The sequence below is a fragment of the Homo sapiens genome, chromosome 16 (assembly GCF_000001405.40).
Source record: "Homo sapiens chromosome 16, GRCh38.p14 Primary Assembly".
NCBI lineage: Eukaryota > Metazoa > Chordata > Mammalia > Primates > Hominidae > Homo > Homo sapiens.
This window is the reverse complement of record NC_000016.10, coordinates 46,701,329-46,726,746: the sequence shown is the minus strand read 5'-3', so window position 1 is coordinate 46,726,746 and position 25,418 is coordinate 46,701,329. Positions and strand designations below refer to the sequence as shown.

Below are 25,418 nucleotides of genomic sequence, written 5' to 3'. Positions count from 1 at the left end.
CTCTCTTTCTTTTCTTTCTTTCTTTCTTTCTTTCTTTCTTTCTTTCTTTCTTTCTTTCTTTCTTTCTTTCTCTTTCTTTCTTTTTCTTTCTTCTTTCTTTCTTTCTCTCACTTTCTTTTTCTTTCTCTTTCTCTTTTCTCTCTCTCTCTCTCTTCTCTCCTCTCTCCTCTCTTTCTTTTTTGGAGACAGGGCCTCTCTCTGTTGCCCAGGCTGGAGTGCAGTGGTGCCATCATATCTCACTGCAGCCTGGACCTCCCAGGCTTAAGTGATCCTCAGTCTCCCAAGTAGCTAGGACTACAGGCACGTGCCACCACACTTGGCTAATTTTTGTATTTTGTATAGAGACAAGGTTTCACCATGTTGCCCAGGCTGGTCTTGAACTCCTGGACTCAAGCAATCCTGCCTCAGCCTCCCAAAGTGCTGGGATTACAGGCATGAGCCACCACACCTAGCCCAGATGGCTGCAAATGCCATTAATTCATTCCTTTTTATGGCTGAGTAGTATATGGTACTGGCATAATAATAGGCGCTGAGTGGTATATGGTACTGGCATAAAAATAGGCACATAGACCAATGGAACATAATCGAGAACCCAGAAATAAACCCTAATACTTACAGCCAACTGACTGACAAAGCAAACAAAAACAAGTGAAGAAATGACACCCTATTCAACAAATGGTGCTGGGATAATTGGCAAGCCACATGTAAGAGAATGAAACTGGATCCTCATCTCTCACCTTATACAAAAATCAACTCAAGATGGATCAAGGACTTAAATCTAAGGCCTGAAACTAAAAATTGTAGAAGATAACATTGGAAAAAATCCTTCTAGACATTGGCTTAGGCAAGGATTTCATGAGCAAGAACCCAAAAGCAAATGCAATAAAAACCAAATGTTTGAAGAAGAATTAACACCTTTACAAATTCTTCCAAAAATAGAAGAGGAGAGAACACTTGCTTCTCATTTTATGAGGCTAATCTTATCCTGATACCAAAATCAAAGACATCACAAGGAAAGAGGGCTACAGACCAAAATCCCTTATGGATATAGATGCAAAAATTCTCAATAAAGTATTAGCAAACTGAATAAAACATATAAAAAGGATTATATTCATGACAAAGTGGAATTTATCCCAAGAATGCAAGGTTGGTTTAACATATGAAAATCAACCAACGTAATGGGCCATATTAATAGAATAAAGGATGAAATCATGTAATCATTTTAATAGATGAGAAAAAATAATTGACAAAATCCAAAAACTTTTCATGATGAAAATAATAAACAAATGAGGAACAGAACTTCCTCAACCTGATAACGGCCATTTGTGAAAAACCCACAGCTGACACTATAGTTTGTAGTAGGAGACTGAATGTTTTCTCCTTAAAATCAGGAATAAGACAAGGATATCTGTTCTTGCAACTTGTATTAAACATTTTACTGGAGGCTATCACTAGGGCAATTAGGCAAGAAAATAAAAGGCATTCAGATTGGGAAGGAAGTAAAACTGTCTCTATTTGCAAATGACACGCTCTTGTATATAAAAACTCTTAAAGAGAGGAGACTATTAGGATTAATAAATTCATCAAGGTTGCAGTATACAAGACAAATATACAAAAATCAATTGTATTTCTAAATACTGGGACTGAACAATCTGTAAATAAAATCAAGAAAATAATTTCATTTATGACAATATCAAAAGAAAAAATACACTTAGAAATATACTTAGAAAAAAATTAACAAAATAAGTGCAAGACATTCTCTGAAAACTACAACAAAATGTTAAGATAATTCAAAGACCTAAATAAATGGAAAGGCATGCCATGGTCATGGATTGGAAAATTTAATATTGTTAAGGTGACAATACTCCCCCATTGATCTATAGATTCAACATAATCCTTATCAAAGTCATAGCTGGCTTCTTTCCAGATATTAATGAAATCCTAAAATTCAGATGGGAATTCAAGGGACCTAGAATAACAAAAACAATCTTGAAAAAGAACGAATTTGGAGGACTAACTTTTCCCAATTTTGAAACTTTCTACAATGCTACAGAAACCAAAACAACGTATTACTAATGTAAGGTTAGATATGTGCATCAAATTAATACACTTGAGAGTCTAGACATAAACCATTACATTTATGGTCAATTGATTTGTGACAATGGTGCTATGACAATTCAGTAGAAAATTATAGTCTTTTCAACAATTGTGCTGGGACCCCATGCTAGGGAGCTACATGTGAAAGAACGAAGTTGGACCCTTACCTCACACCATATACAAAAATTAATTCAAAATGGATTGTAGACGTAAATGTAAGAGCTAAAACTATAAAATTGTTAGAAGAAAACATAGTAATAAATCCTTATGACCTTGGATTAGGCAATGGTTTCTTAGATATGACACTAAAAATATAATTAAAAAAAGATAAATTAGACTTCATCAAAATGAAAAAAATCTCATACTTCAAAGGATACCATGAGAAAAGTAAAATAATAGCTCACAGAATGGGAGAAAATATTTCCAAATCATATATCAGATAAAGGATTTGTATCTACAACATATAACAAACTCTTATAACTCAACAATAGAAAGAAATAACCCAATTTAAAAATGGTCAAAGGATTTGAATAGATATTTATCCAATGAAAACATACAATTGCCACTAAGCACATGAAGTGATTCTCAGCATCATTAGTCACTAGGGAATTGTAAATCAAAATCAGAATGAGATACTATTTCATATCCACTAGACTGACTACAATAAAAAGTAAAAATGACAGACAATAAAAAGTGTTAAAGTCTGGGCACGGTGGCTCACGCCTGTAATCCCAGCACTTTGGGAGGCCGAGGCAGGCGGATCACCTGAGCTCTGGAATTTGAGCCCAGCCTGACCAACATGGAGAAGCCCCATATCTACTAAAAATACAAAATTATCTGGGTGTCGTGGCACATGCCTGTAATCCCAGCTACTCGGGAGGCTGAGGCAGGAGAATCACTTGAACCTGGGAGGTGGAGGTTGCGGTGAGCGGAATCAGGGCACTGCACTCCAGCCTGGGTGACAAGAGTGAAACCCCATCTCAAAAAAAAAAAAAAAAAGCATCAGCTAGGATATGGGAAAATTGGAACCCTCATACATTGCTGGTGGGGTTGTAAAATGTGCATTCGCTTTTTAAAAAGTTTGGCAGTTCCTAAAAATGCTAAACATAGAATTACCATATAACCCAGCAATTTTACTCCTAGCTATACCCCTAAGAGAATTAAAACATAAGTTGACACAAAAACTTGCACACAAATGTTTTTAGCAGCATTACTTATAATAGCCAAAAGTGTAAACAACCCAGATATTCATTAATTTTATTAGTTAACGGATAAACAAAATATGGTCTAATCCATACAATGGAATATTATTTAGCCATGAAAAGGAATGAAGTGCTGATACCTGCTACACAACACGGATAAACCTTGAAAACATTCTGGTAAGTGAAAGAAATCAGACATGAAAGGCCATATCTTTTATGATTCCATTTATATGAAATGTCCAGAATAGGCAAATCCACAGAGAAAGAGAATACATTAATGATTGCCATGGGGTGGGAAGTGAGGAAAGAATGGACAGGAACTGATGATGGGTATGGTTTTGTTTTTTTTTTGAGGTGATGAAAATGTTCCAAAATTAGATAGTGATATCATTACACAACTCTGTGAATATACTAAAAATAATTGAATCGCACACTTTAAAATGGTGAGGGGCTCATGCCTGTGATCCCAGTACTTTGGGAGGTTGAGGCAGGCAGATCACCTGAGGTCGGGAGTTTGAGACCAGCCTGGCCAACATGGTGAAACCCCGTCTCAACTAAAAATACAAACAAATTTGCTGGGTGTGGTGGCCCACACCTGTAATCCCAGCTACTCGGGAGGCTGAGGCAGGAGAATCACTTGAACCTGGGAGGCGGAGGTTGCAGTGAGCCGAGATCGTGTCACTGCCCTCCAGCCTGGGCAACAAGAGTGAAACTCTGTCCCCACCCCCACCCCAAAAAAGGTGAGTTTTATGGTAAAAATCAGTATTATTTGTATTACTTATAATGTTATAAAATTTAAGTTCACCTGTTTCTTTTGACCTTTTTAAATGTACATTCTAGTAAACTTTAAATTACTATATATGTGGCTCACATTATATTTTTATTGGACAGTGTTATTCTAGATCTTATATAGAAGACAGAGATTTTTAAACACCATTCTCTCACACCTATCTGAGGAATTGTACAACCCCATTGTAACATAAATAACAATGAAAACTTCTGTTGGGAGAAACAGTAGCTGACATTTGCTTTGGAAGCTGTAAAGTGTTTCATGCATGTTATGTCATTTTATCCTCACACCCTCTGGGGGGACAGACAGGAAGAGGTTATTACTCCCGTTTTACGTATGGAGACATTGAGTCTTCAGGAATGGGGAGGGACTCATCTCGGGCTACAGAACCAGGTAATGAGCCCCTGGGCCTCAGGCACTGGACCCTGGGTCTGCAAGTCCTGTCTATCATAAGCCCTACATCTTCACTCAGCTTCTCTCCCCAAGCCCCCAACACACATACCCCCAAATTTGTCATGCATGAGCAGCGAGCATCCTTCCAGACTCCCTCAGGGCCTCAGAGCTGATCCAAATGCCCTAAGAGGAGAGGCGTGCCAAGGCTGCCACCCTCATGCCATGGGCCACAGCTGTCACTGCAGAATGGCAGGTGGACATTCAGCAGCTCTGCTCTCCTTAACCAACCAGTGATGCTTTGGTCTCACCCCAGAGGTTCTGATGTAATTGGTCAGGATTGAGGCCTCGGCACTGGGACTTTTTCTTTTTCTTCTTTTTTTAATTCTCTTAGCATTCCAGTATAACATTGGGATTTTAAAAGCTCCCCTGATGATTCCAATGTACAGCCAGGGTTGGGAACCCAGCCCCATACAAGCAGCTCATGGGCCAATTATATATCACAGAGGTATTCTGTTGGGTTCTGAGACGTGAGTTTAGATTTCGTTTAGTTGTTAACATTTAAAAGCATGGAATTTTCACATAAAAACCTGAATTCCTAGCTGGACATGGTGGCTCACGCCTGTAAGCCCAGCATTTTGGGAGGCTGAGGCTGGAGGATCTCTTGAGCCCAGCAATTCGAGACAGGCCTGGGCAACATGGCGAGACCCCATCTCTGTTTTTTAAATTAAAAACAAAACTGACCAAACAAAACACCCCTGAATTCCCGGCTTCTCTTGAGGACTGAAAAACTCTGGCATTGTGTCTGCACTCCTACATAGTGACCAGTGTCTGGTACTGGGTAGTGCTGTCCCTTTACACAGGCTGGGAGCCTCCAGTTCCCCACACTCTACACCAATCCTTATTGTCTCACCAGCCCCTTCATGTATTTCCATTATCTATCCAGCCCTTGCAGGGCTGCCCTGAGCCATTCATGTCCCTTGAAGGCTGGAAAACAGAGGCCTATAGACAAGTGTGGCAGCTGCAGACCTCCTCAGCTATTGCTTGGGCTAAGCAGACTTCTTTCTTTCCCAGCCGGAGAACATATTGTGCGTCAATCAGACAGGACATCAAATTAAGATCATTGACTTTGGGCTGGCCAGAAGGTAAGGGGGTTTTATTTAGATACCTTAACAAAATTCCTTGGGACTCTTTGTGGCTCTCTGGGCATGGTTACTCCTGACCCAGCTAATGCTTGAGTTTTGGAACTGATGCAAGAAAGCTCTTGTGTGCAGAAGCTGGTGGCCTTTGACTTGCAGACAGGCCTTGTTGCTCTTGCATGGGCTGGCTTTGTGCTGTGGGCTCTGCTTCTTCCTAAAAGGCTATGGAATTAACTGAACTTCACTCCACCTGTCAGAAGAGAGGAGAGTGATGGTGAAGGGGGCTGCTGAGCGAGGTGCTGGGCTGCTTAGTTCTATGGGTTCCCCAGGCATCCTGGGGCCAGGAGGTGCTGGGCTATGTGATGCATCTGTCACCATCCCTGCCCTCCAGGAAATGACCAGATTAAATACAAAAAGTGAGTATGTGACAGTGTTGGGTGGCGCCATGGGTAGGTGTTTCTGTAACCACTCAGGACTGGTTTACATCTTGGTGAAATGGTGATATAATACATTACCTGCTGGCATGGGGTGGTTATGAGGGTTAAATGAGAAAATACACAGACAGTGTGGACCCATCCTATCCAGGAGGTTAGGTTCTCAAGTTTCAGGGCATAAAGTAAACATTGTAGGCCCAGCACAGTGGCTAATGCTTATAATCCCAACACTTTTGGAAGGCCAAGGAGGGAGGATCTCTTGACCCCAGGAGTTCGAGACCAGCCTGGGCAACACAGCAAGACCTCATCTCTACAAAAAATACAAAAATTAGCCCAGCATGGTGATGAGCACCTGTAGTCTCAGCTACTTGGGAGGCTGAGGTGGGAGGATCACTTGAGCCTGCAGTGAGCCAAAATCACACTATTACACTCCAGTCTGGGCAGTAGAGCTAGACCCTGTCTAAAAATAAATAAATAATAAATAAAGTAAACATTGTATATTATTTATTATTATTTTGAGATGGAGTCTTGCTCTGTTGCCCAGACTGGAGTGCAGTGGTGCAATCTCTGTTCACTACAACCTCTGCCTCCCGGATTCTAGCAATTCACCTGCCTTAGCCTCCCAAGTAGTTGGGATTACAGGCGCCTGCCACCACACGTGGCTAATTTTTGTATTTTTAGTAGAAATGGGGTTTCACTAAGTGGGTCAGACTGGTCTCAAACTCCTGACCTCAAGTGATCCTCCTGCCTCAGACTCCCAAAGTACTGGGATTACAGGCGTGAGCCACCACATCAGGCCCATTGTATATGATGTTAAAAATCTCATAGTCTCTTAAAATGCCTGAAGCCTAGTGCAGTGTGGCTAATGTTGCTGTGTAGCCCAGGGGTGCCACACTACCCATGGCGCCACCCAACACTGTCACATACTCACTTTTTGTATTTAAACTGGTCATTTCCTGGAGGGCAGGGGTGGTGACAGATGCATCGCATAGCCCAGCATGTCCTAGCCCCAGGAGGCCTGCGGAACCCACAGAACTGAGCAGCCCAGCACCCCACTCAGTGGCTCCCTTCACCATCACCCTACTCTCTTCACAGATAGGTGCTGTGAAGTCCAGTCACATGTGTGCTGAATACTGTGCGCCTGGAGAGCTCCTGCCCACGGCATGCATGCCCAGTGGTGTGGGTTCTTGGCAGTGGTAGTAGCAGACCCTTGGCATTTGGGAAGGCTTCCCCTAAACCTTCAGGCATCCTCAGTTCGTAAACATGGCAGTAGTTGTATGCCCAGCTTCTAGGATTCCTCCAGGATTCTGTTTCCTCCGAGAATGACATTTCTCTGGGAATCACATATCTTCTTTTTTTTTTTTTTTTGAGACCGAGTCTCATGCTGTCACCCAGGCTGGAGTGCAGTGGCACGATCTCGGCTCACTGCAACCTCCGTCTCCTGGATTCAAGCAATTCTCCTGCCTCCGCTTCCCAAGTAGCTGGGATTACAGGTGGCCGCCACCATGCCCAGCTAATTTTTGTATTTTTAGTAGAGACGGGGTTTCACCATGTTGGCCAGGATGGTCTTGATCTCTTGACGTCGTGATCCGCCTGCCTGGCCTCCCAAAGTGCTGGGATTATAGGTATGAGCCACCACGGCAGGCCGAATCACATATCTTCCAGGTAGGTCTTTCAGCTGCAGCTGAATTTTCAACTCTTCTGGAAGCTCCTTCTCTCTCCTAATGGCTGGCTGTTTTCTTCTTCCTCTTTTTTTTTCAGACAGAGTCTTGCTCTGTCAGGCTCACTGCAACCTCTGCCTCCTGGGTTCAAACAATTTTCCTGCCTCAGCCTCCCGAGTAGCTGGAACTGCAGGCGCCTGCCACCACGCCTGGCTAATTTTTATATTTTTAGTAGAGACAGGGTTTCACCATGTTGGCCAGGCTGGTCTTGAACTCCTGACTTCAAGTGATCTGCCCGCCTCAGCCTCCCAAAGTGCTGGGATTACAGGCGTGAGCCACCACGCCTGGCCCTGATGGCTGTTTTCCATGCAGAAGTAGTTTTGTTATTTCATGGCCACGCGGTACCCTCTATCACATCCACGAGTGGAAGGAAACACAGCATCGCCCCTGGATGCAGAGCCGCGCGCCTGAGCTCAGCTCTGCCTTCCAGCACCTGCCTCCCAAGCAGCACCTACACCCTCAGTGCTGGTCTTCCTGGTCACTCCTCCACTGGTTGAAGTGTAAACATTACCCATTTGCAGTGTGATGATGCATTTTCAGTGCCCCATGTGCTGCTAGTGTAACCGCAGGAGGAATTTCACATCATCCCACGAGACAGGGTCTCTATCACACAGTGTATTGTAGTTCATGAACAGAAAAAAAATCACATTCAATCTATCATGTTAGCAAATTGCTTAGTATTTTCCCTGGTAATGTGCTATAAAATTCAGATGCCTCCCACATGCTTGCACGTTGTATACACTAGGGCAGTGTTTCTCAACCTATTTCATTATCGCTGCCTGCCCTGTAGTGAGCCCTTTTTGACTTTATTTCCCCAATTGCCTAGTCCCCCTATGCCATGAAATTTAATACCACTGATGTACTGTGTATCTGTTTATGTGCTGTGGCCCTTTGGAGAGCCACAAACCATTGCAATAGCTAAGGTTGTTTTGTCCCCCAAGAACCAATGTTTGTCCCCCATGGGGCAATATTGTCTTCACTGAGAATGCACATGCTGGTGTATGCAGTACACTCTCAAATACCTGATGGCCCGCTGCCAAATGAGCATTTGCAGGGACACATTGTGAACACCAAGAAAGAAGCAATTATTGGACACCCCTGAAATCTGGGAAGGCTTTTCTGAGCGGTTGGCAGGGACTGGTGGACAGGATTTGCTGTCTGCAGGCAATGCTGCTATGCTGGCAAATGCTTCAGCACCAGCCTGGGGGAGTGGGGAGTGAGAGGGGATGGGTTTGATTTGTAATCTTTGCCAGGGTTTGCTAATTACACACTACCAAGATGATATCACTGAAGGTGGAGTTGGAAGGAGAGGCACTCAGGACTCCCGTGCACCTGAGAGCCGGCTCTAGTGCAGCACTGCCTGGAGGGGAGGTGGGGGGGGCGCCCTGTGAGTTATGGGCTGAGAACAGGGTGCATGCCGTGTATGTGCGGGCTGGTTGGGGGAACATACAGTGGAAGATGAGGGCACTAATGGGGAATCCTGAATGCGAGGCTCACACGTCTGAACATTATCCTATAGGCCACAGAGTCTTACCTGGTGGGGATGTGAAAAGGGCTATAGGTCAATTTACCAAAAATTAGTCAAGCCAAAAGCCTCCATGCTGAGTGGCTGTTTGGGGAAAAACTCTCAAATTGTATTTCCTCTGCTCTCACACCACAGCAAACAACACTGAAGACTTCTGTGATCAAAAGCGGGCAGCTGGGTTCCCTACCAGTGAGCAGTGGATGCCAGCTGGGTGTCCTGCAGTTCAGTTCCGACATCCCCTACCGGGAGATAGCGTCAGATCCCACAGGTTGAGGGCTCAGTCCTCAAGGATACCCTCTCTTCCCCCAGACAGTGGTCACAAGTGCAGGCCTCTGGAGCTTCTGATGGAATGTCTTCATGTTGGGGTTCCCAAGACCCCCTCTTTGGGTTTGCTTAATTTGCTGGAATGGCTCAAATAACTCAAGGAAATACTTACTTACATTTACTTGTTTATATTACAAAGAATACAGGTGAAGAGGGGCACAGGGCAAGGTATGGGGGAAGGGGCATGGAGCTTCCATGCCTTCCCTGGGTGCCCCCTCTCTCCAGGAATCTCCCCATGTTCAGCCATCGGGAAGCTCTCCAACCCTGTCCTCTTGGGGTTTTATGGAGGCATCAATACATAGGCATGATTGACAATGGCATAGAAAGGTGATTGGACAAAAAGCCCATGATCTAAACCCAGCAAGGCCTGTCTTTTTCTTAGCCTTTCTGTGTTGCATTCCTTCCTTTAGGGTAGGGGGCAGGACCCTCTCTAGAATGAGAGTCTTTTGATCCACAGTCAGAGTAGAGTCCTGCCTTGGGCAGGTGAAAGAAGGACTGGAGAAGGACAGAGAGAGAGATTCTCTCCTGAGGCCTAAAGTGTCCCAACATTATAACAAGGACTATGCAAGTTAGAAGCCAGGAATAAACATACACACACACACACACACACACACACACACACACACATATATATACACATACACACACACATATATATATACACACATATATATACACATACATACATATATGCGGGCTATATATATATATACACATACATATATATGTGGGCTATATATATATACATATACATATATATATATGCGGGCTATATATATCTCTCATAACATCTATCTGTCTATCTATCTATCCATCTATCTATCCCATAACACTACAGTGCCCAATCCATTCAAAAGTGTCAGACAAATTCCTTAACCTGGTCAAGGGCAAGAATTTGCTGGCGGGACCAGAAGCAGAGGGCAAGTTCCAGAAAATAAACATGGTGCCACATGTAAGAGCAGGCCACTCATGGAAAACAGCTGGGCTCTGGTGACGGGCAGGCACCCAAAACCCATGATAATGCAGGAAACCGCACTCCGTGGGGCCGGGCTGGCAGAGACACAGGTTCTGGCTGTGAGGTGGACTGAAAACGTCAAAAACAACCTCCATCATCTGGCACACAGGTCATTCAGCAGTTTTATTTAGCAAATTGTTTTTTGCCAAACTGGCCTGCTTCTTGGGCACAGTGTCTTTCCAAGAGGATCTGTGGGGGTTTTGCAGGTTAAGGAAGCATATTCCATGCTGCAGAATAAATAAATGTTTGTAAAGACAAAGGGAATGCTAATTTCCCCCCAATACAAACTATAGAAAATAAAGTTGGTTTTCAGCAGGGACATGGCTCCTGGTGCAGTGGAGGCACATATTTGTACAATTCTCTGATATCAGGATCTCCAGCAAGAGGGACCAGGTTTATCCCAGGCCAGGCAGTGAGAGCCATCAGTGCATCTAAATAGTGACATGTCCAGGGTTAAGGCTGGAGACACAATGGAAATTATCTTAAACATTTTGGGAGTCCCCTGACTCCCAGTCCAGTGCTCAGACTAGAGTCAGAGCACAAAAGATCCCATTTCATCAGATCCTTTGGCAGAGTAAGAGGATGCCTTCCCCGAGCCCTGTGAGGATACGGTCTCCTATTTGACCTTATGGCCATAGACAGACTTGAGCTAAGAATATGAAGAGAGCGTTTTGATGGATATTTTGACAGCTTTGGGGTGAATGTCTCAGTTAGCTATTGCTGCAATACTGCTGTGTAACAAACCACCCCAAAACCAGAGGCTTAACATGACAGTAATTTATTCCCATCCACACATTTGTGATTTAGCTGGGGGAGTGGTATGCTGGATGCAACTTTAACTAGTACTTACTGTATTAGCTCATGATAAGGAGTTTTGTAATCCAGTTGTTAAACACAGCCATTAGTAAGAATTAAATTCTGTAAGTTTACAAATAAAGAAATTATATTAAAATAGAAGATACTAAATATTCAGACTCCATTGCTTCCTAACTATGCTGCTGTGCTCTGTGCTTGAGGTTGCTTCTGCCCATCGTGTCTCTATGGTGGAAATACTTGAGGGGGGTGCCACTGTGCAGCTCTTCCCACCTTCGTTCAGTGACGTCATGATAATACCTTGACATTGACCATGGTGAAATTGGTATCTACACCACAGAAATTGCAAATGCTACAAATCAGGGCTTTAAAACAACAACAAAAACAAATAGATGATTGTGAAGCATTTACCCACATACCCCTGACTGGGAGTCGCTGATCTAGACTGGGCACAGTTGGGCTTGAATCCAGGGTGCAGGTCAGTGAGGGTGGGTCTGCTCCGTGTGCCCTCATTCTCATGGTGATGGTGAAGGAGAGGACAAGCTCTGATGGCCTAGGTTGGCATGGGCCCACTGTCAGTGGGGGTGATATATTACACCTCTTGTGGAGGGAACTACAAAGTCACATGACACGAGGTGTGGCTGTGGGGCACGAAGAGGCACTGGGAACAGTAATGCAACTGGGGAGAGTGGCTTTGGGGGCTTCTCCTTGAGGGGAAGGCTCTTCCCTTAGTTGGAGTTCGGCTCCTGATCCTTGAGTCCTGGGTCAGCTGCTGGGCAGGGGAGGGACAGGTGCCAGAGGAGCGCTTGCCCCCCGAGGCCCAGTCCTTCAACCCCCGTCACCTTGCTGCTCTTTCACTGGATGGGCTCAGCTGTGTTGGCGCTGAGTCTTTGTCTGCCTGGCTCTCAGCAAATTTGGAGGAGAGGAGACTGCTCTCTGAAAGCTGATTTAAAGGAAGCAGGGCATATTGGCAGAATGTTCATTTTATTTATTTTATTATTGTTATTCTCAATTGCCTCATCTATAAAATGGGGACAATAATCCTACCTATTTCATAGGGCTATTGGGAGGAGGGAAAGAGATGCTATACATGTATAAAACTTTTAGCATAGTATCTGGCAAATAAAGTGCCCATGAAATTTTAGCTAGAGACTCTTTTTCTTCAAGAGTGATTCTAAAACACACTGTTTGCCCCCCTTTCCCACTCAACCGTTGACTCTCTTCCTAGCCTTAAACTTCATGTCCAGAACTTTTTCTAATTTTTTATTTTTGGAATTGTGGTTAAAAAAATACATAACATAAAAGTTACCACCTAGTGTCCATCAGTGGATAAAAAATCTGGGGTGTATATATGCAGATGAATACTGTTCAGCTTCAAAAGATAAGGGAATCCTGTCATTTGCAGCAACATGGATGACCCTGTAGGGCATTATGTTAGGTGAAATAAGCCAGGCTCAGAAAGACAAGTACCACGTGATCTCACTTAGGTGTGGAATCTAAAAAAGACAAACTCTTACAGGCAGAGAGTTGGATGGTGGTTACCGAAGACAGGGCAGGTGGCACTGGGGAGACGTCTGCCAAAGGATACAATATTTCACTTAGAAAGGAGGAATAAATTCAAGAGAGCCATTGTACAACATGGTGATTATAGTTAATGTATTGTATACTTCAGAATTGCCAAGAGAATAGATTTTAAGTGTTCTCACCACAAAAAATAAGTATGTGAGGTAATACTTATGTTAATTAGCTTGACTTAGCCATCCTACAATGTACACATGTATCAAAGCATCATATATACCGGCTGGGTGTAGTGGCTCATGCATGTAATCCAGCACTTTGGGAGGCTGAGACAGGCAGATTGTTTGAGCTCAGGAGTTTGAGGCCAGCCTGGGCAACATGGTGAAACCTCATCTCTACAAAAAATACAAAAAATTAGTCAGATGTAGTGGCGTGTGCCTGTAGCCCCAGATACTCAGGAGGCTGAGGTGAGAGAATTGCTTGAGCCTGGGAGGCAGAGGTTGCAGTGAGCCGAGATCTTATCACTGCACTCCAGCTTGGGTGACAGAGTGAGACCCTGTTTCAAAAAAAAAAAAAAAAGGCATCATATATACCATAAATATATACAATTAGTACATTCTCGTTGTTGTGCAACCAATCTCCAGAACTTTTTCATCTTGCAAAACTGAAATTCTATACCCATTAAATAATAACTTCCCATTTTCTGCCTGCCCCTAACCCCTTCCTAATTTCTGTTTCATAAATTTGACTACTGAAAGAAGCAAATGCCTGGAGGAGGAAGACTGTGGTTTTCTGATTCTATCGCTGACTTAGAAAAGCCAGAAGTTTGGGGCCTGGGATCTGATTATTCCCCAGTAATTCACAGGTGTAATGTGGGTGTGGAGTCCAGGCCATATGGCTGATGGGAAGTGGGGAATGTCTGCATCCCACCAGAAATGAGCCCCAGCACCACATCTCCCAGGCCTCACCCCATGCTTCTTTGTACCCTCCCCTTCTCCCCAGGTACAAGCCTCGAGAGAAGCTGAAGGTGAACTTCGGCACTCCTGAGTTCCTGGCCCCAGAAGTCGTCAATTATGAGTTTGTCTCATTCCCCACAGACATGTGGAGTGTGGGAGTCATCACCTACATGCTGTGAGTGCTTAGCACCCTGGCTCTGAAGTGGGGACAGGGGTCATTTGTCTTCCTTTGGGTAATCTTAGAAGCAAAATTTTGAGCACAAGTAGTCTATTTGGGAGGTAACCCCAGGAAACCCCAATAGAGGAATAGGGTAGTGAGATGGGGAAGGAAAGGAGCCAGGGAAGGGTATGTTATCAAGCCAGTTACCATATTTACAAGGCAGTCGTATTTCCAAGTTATAATTTTAGTAGGTTAATATTGAAAAAATTGAGATGTGCCGATATTATTCCCTGGAACAAAGGTCTAAAGGCCTGTTTCTCGGTGAGGAAGGCCTACTTGGGCTTCAGCAGCTGTATCAAAGTTATGGGTTGAGCTGGGCATGGTGGCTCATGCCTGTAATCGCAGCACTTTGGGAGGCCAAGGTGGGAGGATTGCTTGAGCCAAAGAGTTCAAGACCAACCTGGGCAACATAGGGAGACCCTGTCTCTACCAAAACCAAAAAAAATTAGTTGGGCATTGTGGTGCGTGCCTATCGTCCCAGTTACTAGGGAGACTGAGGTGGGAGGATTGCTTGAGCCTGGGAAGTTGAGGCTGCAGTGAGCCATGATCATGCCATTGCATTCCAGCCTGAGTGACAGAGCAAGACCATGTCTCAAAAAAAAAAAAAAAAAAATTATGGCTTGAGCCATTGAATTTTTTGGTACTGAGACATAAAAGTAATAACTGAAAATAACAAAGGTATTCATCGAGAGTAAGGCCCGATTGTGGGCAACTGGAGTTTCATTCTGCTGGGGAACTCCAGAATGCATCATGGAATACCCCCTGAGAGTTATTTCATCTAGGGGGTATTTATACACTAATTCTTACCAGTTATTCCTTGTGGACTAATGGAGATGGGGTGGAATTGATTTCCTGATACTTCTGGGTGGGTAAAGCAAGCTTCAGCTGGAGAGAAAGCCCTCCAGCAAAGACATGCAGGTGCTTTGGTACAAATGGAGCTGGATCATGCCTATAATCCCAGCACTTTGGGAAGCTGTGGCGGGAGGATTGCCTGAGCCCAGGAGTTTGAGGCTGCGGTGAGCTATGATTGCACCATAGCACTCCAGCCTGGGTGACAGAATGAGGCACTGTTTAAAGACAAAACAAAATAAAAACCCAAATGAGGCTGGAGTGCACCGAAGGGGTAAGGGGGTGGGGGGCAGGGCAGGATACCCTTTGTGGCATCATTGAACCCCTGTGCTCCCTGTTTTCTTCTCTGTCTGGCTGTGGACTTCCCGTGGCTGCTTCCTCAGAGGTAAAGTCATGTTTTACTTCTGGTCTCCTGATTATTGTGTAACTGCTGCGCACTGTCCCTGCACTCAGATATGGGAGCTGCGCCAGGCTGGGGAAGTTCAGATCCCTGAGGCTGGCCGTCAGGGTGTCCTGATTCTCTATCCTCCCTCAGGCGGGAACCTAATAAAGCCCATTTTCCTTTGGCTTGGGGCCTGGGTAGCATCTAAATAAGCCTGGCTGTCTCAAGGACATGGAAGGCTATTTCTATTTCTAAAATTAAATCAATGTGTACTTGATAACTGGGCATACCAAGTTGGGCCCTAATTTTACTCTTTACTTCAGGAATGAGGTGGAAAGAGGTGAGCACAAGAGGGGACTTATTCCAAAAATTCTTCTTGCCTCCAAATTTTAAATCCTTCCGCTTCCTCCCTTTAATGAACACACTGGACTCCATCCTGTGGAGAAGTAGTGGAGGTGCTTTTATTTTGAACCCTCTTGGTTCTGGCTAGGTCCACTTGAACTCTGTAAGCTTCTCTATTCTGCCAATGCATGTTGGCAAATGTGGCCTCCACCTACTGATGGTCCTTTCTCTCTTCTATAGACTCAGTGGCTTGTCCCCATTTCTAGGGGAAACAGATGCAGAGACCATGAATTTCATTGTAAACTGTAGCTGGGATTTTGATGCTGACACCTTTGAAGGGCTCTCGGAGGAGGCCAAGGACTTTGTTTCCCGGTTGCTGGTCAAAGAGAAGAGGTACCTTTCATTGCTTGTCACTCATGGGCCCTTCTGATGGGGACCCCAGGTCTGGGAGCTGGGCAGGACTGCTGACCGTGAAGGTCCTTCTTCCTGTGGACAAATTCCATTCAAGATTTCTTAGTTTGCTACTTCTTTGGAAAAATAAAGGGAACAGAGAAAGGGACAAAGGAAATCAATGAAACAACAAACAAGTAGGGGCATAAAATATAGTTTTAGAAAGAAGCATATGTAGATTGGTCCTATCTGCAAGTTATCAGTTGTCATAGGCTAAGGTTGAAGAAAAGAACTGAGATATGCAGATGTTATTTCCAGAATAAAGATCTGAATACCTTGTTTCTTGGTGAAGAAGATCTATTTAGGCTTCAGCGTCTATATCAAAGTCATGGGTCAAGCCATTTGAGTTTTTTGATACTCAGAATAAGGTAATAACTGGACATAACCAAAGGTATTAACCACCCAAGGCTAAGGCCCAGGAGTCTGGGCTCTAAGACAGCTTGTATTTCCCTGACTTTTACAATTTTGTTTCTTTCTGACTGTGAAAAGTTATGTGAGAGGAAAAAAAATTCTAAGTCAGATGAACAAGTTGGCTTTATACTCTGGAAGGAGAAATGAGCTTCCTTCAAATTTCCTGTTCTTTTGCTTCTTTAAGAGCAATTCCAGGCATAGCTAGCCTTCCTACTGCCCTGCCTCAACTTCTCAGCCCCCTCTGGGAAGTGGTTCCTCCCAGAATCACTGGAATATGTTCCCCCTATAGAGGTCAGAGAACATTTTGCTGACGACCTTCTGGCACTTTGAAGGAAGGGAATTTTAGACACAAGGAGTTCCCTTTTTGGTACATGGCATGAATCTGCCTAAATGATTAATCTGTTCCACTGACTCAGGCTTCCTACTCAAGTGAACAGATTTTTGGATGAGAAAAGGCAACTCCAACTAAAAGTCTTAACTGCTCTTTGATTTCACAGCTGCAGAATGAGTGCCACACAGTGCCTGAAACACGAGTGGCTGAATAATTTGCCTGCCAAAGCTTCAAGATCCAAAACTCGTCTCAAATCCCAACTACTGCTGCAGAAATACATAGCTCAAAGAAAATGGAAGGTATTTGGTTTTTCTCTTAGTAAAGGTGGAATTTGTCATCCTAATCTGTCCTTGGAAAAAACTGTAGCTAAGTTTCCTTTTCTTTTTTTTTTTTTCTTCTTTTTGGGTTTGTTTTTATAGACAGGGTCTTGCTCTGTTGCCCAGGCTGGAGTATAGTGGCATGATCATGGTTCACTGTAACCTTAAATTCCTGGGTTCAAGCAATCCTCCCACCTCAGCCTCCTAAGTAGTTGGGACTACAGGCATGTACCACCATGCCTTGCTAACTTTCATATTTTTTGCACAGACAGGGTCTTGTTAAGTTGCCTAGGATGGTCTTGAACTCCTGGCTTCAAGCACTCCTCCTGCCTCAGCCTCCCAAATTGCTGGCATTACAGGCATGAGCCACTGCACCCAGCCTGTAGCCAGGGTTTTACTTACATTTTGATTCTAAACAGAAAGATTATTTAGGGGGAAAAATCTCTCTCATGTCAAAAGCTGCTAGCTTGATTTAAAAATGTCACAGAGCAAAAATAACTGGCATAAAACTTACATTTGGTTTGTGCTTATATGGACACTTGAAGTGACAGAATGAAGCTTAAGCATATGTTCTCAGTGGCAATCATCGTGAAGCTCCTGAACTAACTGCTTAGAGCTTGAGGCCTGATTCTTCCACATTTCAGAAATGGGAGATAAGAAAGGCCTGTTAAACTTTTAAAACTTTATAATTTTGTTTACAACAGAATTCTTTAGTCCCATGGACATAAAACCTATCTTAAAAGCAATTGTGATCCAGGGAAGTGGCTTCCAACAATTTAATATGGACTTAGATCCTCACTGGGGATCCAAAAGCACAAACAAAACCCTTTATGTATGGAGCCAGTACACAAGAATACCTATACATGTACACACTTACCGGGAAACACACAACAAAAATTTGACTCAGGCGTGGTGGCCTGCACCTATAGTTCCAGCTATTTGGGAGGCTGAATGGGGAGGATCACTTGAGTTCAGGAGTTTGAGGCTGCAGTGAGCCGTGATCACGCCAGTGTACTCTAGCCTGGGTGACAGAGGGAGACTCCCATCTCTGTTTAAAAAAAAAATCACAACATTTTCTCTAACAGAATATGATGTATTCTGATATTTTCTATTCTGTGCCACTTGGTTTTATTTTTTAAATGCTGTTCACAACCCACCAATTTGATTTCATGACCCATTGCTCGGTTGTGAATCACAATTTGAAAAACACTGTTCTATCAAAGCATGATGTAGGCTGATGAAAAATAAAAATAAGACACTGTTCTAGGGTGCTCCATTTTTCATGTGAAAAGGGCAGGATAAACCTGGGTAACCTAGTGAGACTGTATCTTTACAAACAAGACAAAAGTTAGCTGGTCGTGGTGGTGGTTGCCTGTAGTCCCAGCTACTTGGGAGGCTGAGGTGGGAGGATTGCTTGAGCCCAGGAGGTAGAGGTTGCAGTGAGCCAAGATCACGCCACTGCACTCCAGCCTGGACAACAGAGCCAGACCCCATCCTGACCCCCCTACCCCCTCCCCAAAAAAAGAAAAAAAAGAGGGCAGGATGATGTATCTTCCCACTTCATATTTACTCCCAACATGCCCCTGAAAGTCATGTGACTATTCTATAATTATTTTAGAAACTTGTTTCCCTTTAGGTATCAGATTTAAACCAACCCCAGTGGCTGGACTCACTTAAATCCTTTTATTGTTTCTTCATAAGGCAACTGGTCTAAAATACATGCTTTTTCTTTTCTTTTATTCTCTCCTTGCCTCAAGAAACATTTCTATGTGGTGACTGCTGCCAACAGGTTAAGGAAATTTCCAACTTCTCCCTAATCTTCAACTCTGCTGCTCCAATGGGTCCAGAAATTACTGAGGCCAGTGGTGAAGTGAAGAGATGACTCAAACATTTAAATAATTTGGCTTTTTGGTATTATTGATTCCACTTATTTTGTAAAAATGGTTATGGCTGCTGCCTTCCTTGTGGATGAAAAGTGGCTGTAAAGAAGCTTCCTAAGAACGTTTTTTTCTGCCTTGTAAGATCACTACGTGTGAAATGCTCTGAGTACCTTTCAAATATACCTACTTTTGGTGGTAAGTGTAGGGATGCTTTAGGTAGGTACTTTGCATCTGTCGAATTTAAATTCTAAACTCACACTGATTAAGGAACTCAGTAGACTACTTTGCAGGGGCCATGTTATTCAGTGTTATCTCCTCCAGTACAAAGAATTCCTAGAATTTTGATTTGCTCAGGTGTGAGCTGACATTTTATTGTACTACCCCATTCTTGTGTTAAGCCATGTGGATTTAGGACAGTGATCTTCAAACTTGCTTTAACTTATGCTCCCTTTTGAGAATCAGCATCACTTGAAATGTCAAAATATGTCAACTCTCATAGCCAAATCAAAGAAGTGATCATTTTGACTGTGCTTTTTAAATCTCCACACACCTCCACCTCTCTCCTAATTCTGCCTGTCTTAACCCCTCTGTCTTAGTTATAAATTTCTGGTCTTGTAAGTCTGGAAGCTGATAGGCAATTTATGAAAGAGATAAGAATGTAATGAGGTTCCGCTTTCTGAGAAACACAGAAATGATACATCCTGAGACATAAAGGAAAGCTGCTCTTCTGCTGCCTCAGGCTGTAGCACTCTCAATGTTGTCACTCTACACATACACTTTCTATATACATGTACAGTTGACCCTTGAACAGGGTTTGAATTGCAGTCAACTTAAATGTGGATTTTCTTTCACCTTTGTCACCCCTGAGACAGCAACACCATGCTCTCCTCTTCATCCCACTCTGCAGCCTACTCAACAGGAAGATGATGAAGATGAACACCTTTATGATGATCCACTTTCACTTAATGAATAGTAAACATATGTTTTCCTCCTTATGATTTTAGTAACTTTTCTCTAGCTTACTTTATTGTAAGAATACAGTATATAAGCTGGGTGTGGTGGCTCATGCCCATAATCCCAGCACTTTGGGAGGCTGAGGCAGGCAGATCACTTGAGGTCAGGAGTTCAAGACCAGCCTGGCCAACACAGTGAAACCCCATCTCTACTAAAAATACAAAAATTAGTGGGGCGTGGTGGCGGATGCCTGTAATGTCAGCTACTCTGGAGGCTGAGGCAGGAGAACTGCTTGAACCTGGGAGGTGGAGTTTGCAGTGAGCCAAGATTGCACCACTGCACTCCAGCCTAGGCAACAGAGCAAGACTCCGTCTCAAAAAAAAAAAAAAAAAAGAATACAGTATATGTATATATACACACACACAAACACACACACACACGAACACATATGTGTGTATGGGTATTAACTGACTGTTTATATTATTGATAGGGCTTCCAGTCAACATTAGGCTATTAGTAGTTAAGTTTTTGGGGAGACAAAAGTTATACTCAGATTTTCTACTGCAAGGGGGTAGGCACTCCTAACCCTCACATTGTTCAAGGGTCCACTGTACATTTAAACACTTTTCTATATGCATTAGAGTAGCCCTGTCATCCCTTCACTGAAATCATACTGTTCTCAACATGGCAAGCAACTAACACTTTTTTTTTTTTTTGAGACAGGGTCTCACTCTGTTGCCCAGGCTGCAGTGCAGTGGTGTGATCTTGGCTCACTGTAGCCTCCGCCTCCTGGGCTCAGGCGATCATGAGTACCTGGGACCATAGGTGCCCGCTACTACACCCAGCTAATTTTTGTATTTTTAGTGGAGATAGGGTTTTGCCATGTTGCCCAACCTGGTCTTGAGCTCAAGCGATCCACCTGCCCCAGCCTCCCAAAGTGCTGGGATTATAGGTGTGAGCCACCACACCCAGCTTCAACTAACACATTTACGAACTTGTATACATGTATATTTAGATACTTTACCAACTTGTAAAATGGTTAAAGGAGTACTTTATTATGAAAAAATATACAATCTTTAAAATTTCCTTACTTCTACATGATTTTTGTGCTATTCCCATTTTTTTCCTCAGGTGAGCAGCTTTAGTTTTTTATTTTTTTTGAGAGAGTCTTCCTCTGTCACCCAGGCTGGAGTGCACTGGTGTGTTCTTGGCTCACTGCAACCTCTGCCTCCCGGGTTCAAGTGATCTTGTGCCTCAGCCTCCCAGGTAGCTGGGATTACAGGCGTGTGCTGCCACGCCCAGCTAATTTTTGTATTTTTGGTAGAGATGGGGTTTTGCCATGTTGGCCAGGCTGGTCTCGAACTCCTGACCTCAGATGATCCACCTGTCTTGGCCTCCCAAAGAGCTGGGAATATAGGCATGAGCCACTGTGCTTGGCCTCAGGTGAGCAGCTTTAGTCAATGTTGTGAATTTTAGATTTTAATTAGACATGCAACAGTTTCACTACCTTTCAGGATTTTTGTCCTGTAACAGAGGCTCTTGCTTTTTGACAGAGAGGTAGGCAGGTGGAGAGGTTATCCTGCTGCTGCAGTTCTCAAGTTGTTAAGTTTCCTCTGGAAGGCTAACCCTTGTTGGGAACTAACAGTTTCAATACCAGCAAGTCTAGGCCTGCTCCAAGTTGGTCAGCTGAAGAATGAACATCAGAAGACACAGCTGCTGAAAGTTGTCCTTTGATGAGACAGTGATAGTGATTTGGTAAAATGTCTTATTTTTTAAATGTCAGTTATCTTTCTTTAAAAGGTTTTTTGAGGGCAGCCTCCAGAAGGAGCTAGAGAGTATATTTTATAGTTCTATTGTGGTTCATACCCTGTTTTCGACTTAAGATTCTGGAGAATGCTATGAAACATCTCCCCAGAAAAAGACAGTTAATTACCATATCTAGAGCAGCACTGCCCAACAAAAATATAGTACAGGCTATACACATAATTAAAACATTTCTAGTAGCTTCTCTAACAAAACCCATTGAAAGCCAATTTTAATAATTTATATAACTTAGTGTATCAAAAATATTTCAATATGTAATCAACATAAAATTGAGATACTTTACCAGCTACTAGGGAGGCTGAGGCCAGAGAATCACTTGAACCCAGGGGGTGGAGGTTGCAGTGAGCCAAGATCACACCATTGAACTCCAGCCTGGGCAACAAGAGCAAAACTCCGTCTCAAAAAAAAAGAGATATTTTATATTCTTTTTCTCATACTAAGTCTCAAAAATCTGGTATATTTTACACTTAAAAACACATGTCAAGGCTAGGCATGGTGGCTCACATCTGTAATCCCAGCACTTTGGGAGGCCAAGGTGGGCAGATTGCTGGCCAACATGGTAAAACCCCATCTCTAAAAATATAAAAATTAGCTGGGCGTGGTGGCGCATACCTGTAATCCCAGCTACTTGGGAGGCTAAGGCACAAGAATCACTTAAACAGGAGGCAGGGGTTGCAGTGAGCTGAGATCACACCACTGCACTCCAGCCTGGGTGGCAGAGCAAAACTTTGTCCCCACCCCTGACAAAAAACAAACAAACAAACAAAACAAAAAAAAACCTGTCAATTCAGATGCTAGGTTTTCATCAGACGTACTTAATCTGTATTTAGATTTCTTAAAACTTACTGTGGAAAATGTATTTACATACTCAAGTTGTTTGAAACATAACTCACTGTTTTCCAATAACTGAAGTATCCACTTTTACATGTATTAAAATTAAATAAAATTAGAAATTCAGTTCTGCAGTTGCACTAGCCACATTTTAAGTGTTTAATAGCCACACGTGGTTAGTGGCATCTATATTGGACAGGGCAGATCTAGAGAGAATCCTGTATCTAACAATTTTAATTTTTTTCCCTTTATGCTGTTATTCCTTACCTAGAGAAACAATTTCCCTCCAAAGTTCCTTTGAGGGGTCTGTTTAGGCCAGGCCAACACAAGTGACCTATGTGGATTTTAGCATCCTTTTTTTGAAATTTGAGGTTTTATGAAGCTTGAGTTTTTCTGGATATTTTTAGTAATTTGCTGGTGTGTACTTAGCTCAAATACTTGATTGCAACTGTGTTGGGTCAACTATTTCTAATGGGACTTTTCCATTTGCATGTACAGTCACTGGAAACTGCTGGGCAGAGAAACTCTAAAAGGTAGTTGGGGCACACTTTTTCCACCTGTCAGATTGGTGAAGAATTGGTGAGGCTGTGGGGAAAATGGCATTCTCCCACTTTTGATGGATATGTATCCAAATAAAAGTCATTCCCATGCTTTCTTTCATCCAGAAATTTTATTTCTAGAAATTTATCCCTCCGTACTTGAACAATTGTATAGAGATTTATTCAAAATGATGTTTACTATAGCACTGTTGCTAATGGCCCAGTAAAAACAACCAACACATGCCTATTAGTTTGGTTTTAGTTAAATGAATTTTGCCACATCCATGTAGTGGAATACCTCACAGCTGTTATAGATAGATCTAGATATACTGAAAGCCATTTTTTCTTAAATTATAGAATGTATATATGGTATCATCCCATTTGTGAAGAGACATATGCTTATATGTGCATTAAAAAACCGTAGGATATGCAAGAAACTTAACAGTGGAGTGTGAAAAGTGGGTGATTGGGAGAGGGGGAATTCCACTTTTCATTTATCTTTCTGAACCTTTTGAATCTTTTTTTTTTTTTTTTTTACAATGAGCATGTATTCCTTTTTTTTTTTTTCTTTCCAAGATGGAGTCTCACTCTGTTGCCAGGCTGGAGTGCAGTGGCGCAATCTTGGCTTACTGCAACATCCACCTCCCGAGTTCAAGTGATTTCTCCTGCCTCAGCCTCCCAAGTAGCTGGGACTACAGGCATGCGCCACCACGCCCAGCTAATTTTTGTGTTTTTAGTAGAGATGGGCTTTCACCATGCTGGCCAGGATGGTCTCGATCTCTTGACCTCGTGATCTGCCCACCTCGGCCTCCCAAAGTGCTGGGATTACAGGTGTGAGCCACTGCGCCTGGCCCGCATGTATTACATTTATAATTAAAAATTCACAACTCAATGTCAAGTGTGAACCTTGTGTTGACCCTGATTTGAGCAAGCAATAAAAAGATATTTTTGAGACATTTAGATTATGAATTTCACATTTGATGATAGTTACTATTAATTTTGTGAGGTGTGATATTGGCAATGTGGTTAGATGACTTCAGAGAAAAAGGAAGGTATAGTTAAGCAAGTATGGCAACATCTAATAACTTGGGTCTAGGTGATGTGTATGGGTTTCATTATACTGTCCTCTTTACTGTTGTATGTATTTGAAAACATTCATGACAAAAAAACTTTTTAATCAGTTAAATAAACCATGAAGAACGGTTAAAGAAGTGAGCTTCCAAGAAGTGTTTATAATAACAGTACTGAAACACACGAATTCACTAACTAGTAAGCATCTGTATTAGTCAGGGTTCTCTAGATGGACAGAATAGGATATATATAGATATATGTAATATGTATATAGGTAATATGTATATATATGTAATATGTGTATATATATGTATATAAAGGGGAGTTTATTAAGTATTAACTTACATGATCACAAGGTCCCACAATAGGCTGTCTGCAAGCTGAAGAGCAAGGAGAGCGAGTCCGAGTTCCAAAACTGAAGAACCTGAAGTCCGACGTTCGAAGGCAGGAAGCATCCAGCACAGGACAAAGATGTAGGCTGGGAGGCTAGGCCAGTGTCTCCTTTTCACATTTTACTGCCTGCTTTATATTTGCTGGCAGCTGATTAGATTGTGTCCACCAGAATAAGGGTGGATATTTCCCAGCCCAGACTCATATGTTAATCTCTTTTGGCAGCACCCTCACAAACACACCCAGGATCAAACTTTGTATCCTTCAATCCAATCAAGTTGACACTCAGTATTAACCATCACGGCATTCATCACTGGGATTGTAATTGTGTTAGAAAACTGTAGAAAGGCTTCCTAGGAGGGCATTTGGACAAGACTGCTTTAAGGTAATTCCTCCACTCCCCAACTAATTTAAAAAATAACTAAGTACATATTATATTGCAAATAATAAAAATAATTACCATTACTTGCTTTCATGGCATAAAGAAAAAACAGACAATACTACTTATATTTATTCTCATATGCTATTTAAACAAGGCTCAGAAATTTTAGATTTATCAGAATCACATCTTAACAGGGTAATTTAAAAGTGAATGTGCCTGATTAACTCAAAATGGATTAAAGACCTAAATGTAAGAGCTTAAACCATTTAACTCTTAGAAGAAAACAAGGGAAAAGCTTCATGACATTGGATTTGGCAATGA

At 42.7% G+C, this 25,418-nt stretch overlaps 1 protein-coding gene across 2 annotated transcripts in view; it reads left to right on the top strand.

The window, feature by feature from the left end:
- Positions 1-24,465, top strand: part of MYLK3 (myosin light chain kinase 3) — a 60,965-nt gene extending 36,500 nt beyond the window's left edge. For both annotated transcript variants that reach the window (NM_001308301.1, NM_182493.3), the window contains 5 exons: positions 5,554-5,624; positions 13,971-14,099; positions 15,958-16,110; positions 17,076-17,208; positions 18,984-24,465. In NM_001308301.1, coding sequence (NP_001295230.1) covers positions 5,554-5,624; positions 13,971-14,099; positions 15,958-16,110; positions 17,076-17,208; positions 18,984-19,043 — 546 coding nt within the window. In that variant the 3' untranslated portion in view covers positions 19,044-24,465. The remainder of the gene's footprint in view (positions 1-5,553; positions 5,625-13,970; positions 14,100-15,957; positions 16,111-17,075; positions 17,209-18,983) is intronic.
- The last annotated feature ends 953 nt before the right edge of the window (positions 24,466-25,418 follow it).